Source organism: Homo sapiens, chromosome 7, assembly GCF_000001405.40.
Source record: "Homo sapiens chromosome 7, GRCh38.p14 Primary Assembly".
In the NCBI taxonomy this organism is placed as follows: domain Eukaryota; kingdom Metazoa; phylum Chordata; class Mammalia; order Primates; family Hominidae; genus Homo; species Homo sapiens.
The window spans coordinates 30,419,021-30,420,664 of record NC_000007.14 but is presented as its reverse complement, the minus strand read 5'-3'; the positions used below and the strand labels follow the sequence as shown (position 1 = coordinate 30,420,664).

General features: G+C 49.6%; 1 annotated feature.

Annotated features, from left to right (window-relative positions):
* Positions 447-1,050: an enhancer, noted in NCBI's record as "NANOG-H3K27ac-H3K4me1 hESC enhancer chr7:30459231-30459834 (GRCh37/hg19 assembly coordinates)". NCBI's record gives its function as "activates a minimal SCP1, AML or CMV promoter by ChIP-STARR-seq in naive H9 embryonic stem cells {active_cell/tissue: H9 hESC(naive)}" and the evidence as "EXISTENCE:reporter gene assay evidence [ECO:0000049][PMID:30033119]".

The following is a 1,644-nucleotide window of genomic DNA, read 5'->3' as shown; positions in this document are numbered from 1 at the left end:
AACAAACCCAGCCTGGCTAAACCCATGAACATCAGGCCAAATAAAAACTTCCTCCCAATGACCCTGTGAAGTAGAATTATTTCCTGAATGAGGAAACTGAGGACTAATAATATGAATATGTATCTTACTAATCAGGATTTGTATAAAAATTAAAAAAAAGCGGAGGAGCCAAGATGGCCGAATAGGAACAGCTCCGGTCTACAGCTCCCAGCGTGAGCGATGCAGAAGACGGGTGATTTCTGCATTTCCATCTGAGGTACCGGGTTCATCTCACTAGGGAGGGCCAGACAGTGGGCGCAGGTCAGTGGGTGCGCGCACCGTGCGCCAGCCAAAGCAGGGCAAGGCATTGCCTCACTTGGGAAGCGCAAGGGGTCAGGGAGTTCCCTTTCCGAGTCAAAGAAAGGGGTGACGGACGCACCTGGAAAATCGGGTCACTCCCACCCAAATATTGCGCTTTTTGGACCGGCTTAAAAAACGGCGCACCACGAGATTATATCCTGCACCTGGCTCGGAGGGTCCTACGCCCACGGAGTCTCGCTGATTGCTAGCACAGCAGTCTGAGATCAAACTGCAAGGCGGCAGCGAGGCTGGGGGAGGGGCGCCCGCCATTGCCCAGGCTTGATTAGGTAAACAAAGCAGCTGGGAAGCTCGAACTGGGTGGAGCCCACCACAGGTCAAGGAGGCCTGCCTGCCTCTGTAGGCTCCACCTCTGGGGGCAGGGCACAGACAAACAAAAAGACAGCAGTAACCTCTGCAGACTTAAATGTCCCTGTCTGACAGCTTTGAAGAGAGCAGTGGTTCTCCCAGCACGCAGCTGGAGATCTGAGAACGGGCAGACTGCCTCCTCAAGTGGGTCCCTGACCCCTGACCCCCGAGCAGCCTAACTGGGAGGCACCCCCCAGCAGGGGCACACTGACACCTCACACGGCAGGGTACTCCAACAGACCTGCAGGTGAGGGTCCTGTCTGTTAGAAGGAAAACTAACAAACAGAAAGGACATCCACACCAAAAACCCATCTGTACATCATCATCATCAAAGACCCAAAGTAGATAAAACCACAAAGGTGGGAAAAAACAGAACAGAAAAACTGGAAACTCTAAAACGCAGAGCGCCTCTCCTCCTCCAAAGGAACGCAGTTCCTCACCAGCAACAGAACAAAGCTGGATGGAGAATGACTTTGACAAGCTGAGAGAAGAAGGCTTTAGATGATCAAATTACTCTGAGCTACGGGAGGACATTCAAACCAAAGGCAAAGAAGTTGAAAACTTTGAAAACAACTTAGAAGAATGTATAACTAGAATAACCAATACAGAGAAGTGCTTAAAGGAGCTGATAGAGCTGAAAACCAAGGCTCGAGAACTACGTGAAGAATGCAGAAGCCTCAGGAGCCGATGCGATCAACTGGAAGAAAGGGTATCAGCAATGGAAGATGAAATGAATGAAATGAAGCGAGAAGGGAAGTTTAGAGAAAAAAGAATAAAAAGAAACGAGCAAAGCCTCCAAGAAATATGGGACTATGTGAAAAGACCAAATCTACGTCTGATTGGTGTACCTGAAAGTGATGGGGAGAATGGAACCAAGCTGGAAAACACTCTGCAGGATATTATCCAGGAGAACTTCCCCAATCTAGCAAGGCAGGCCAA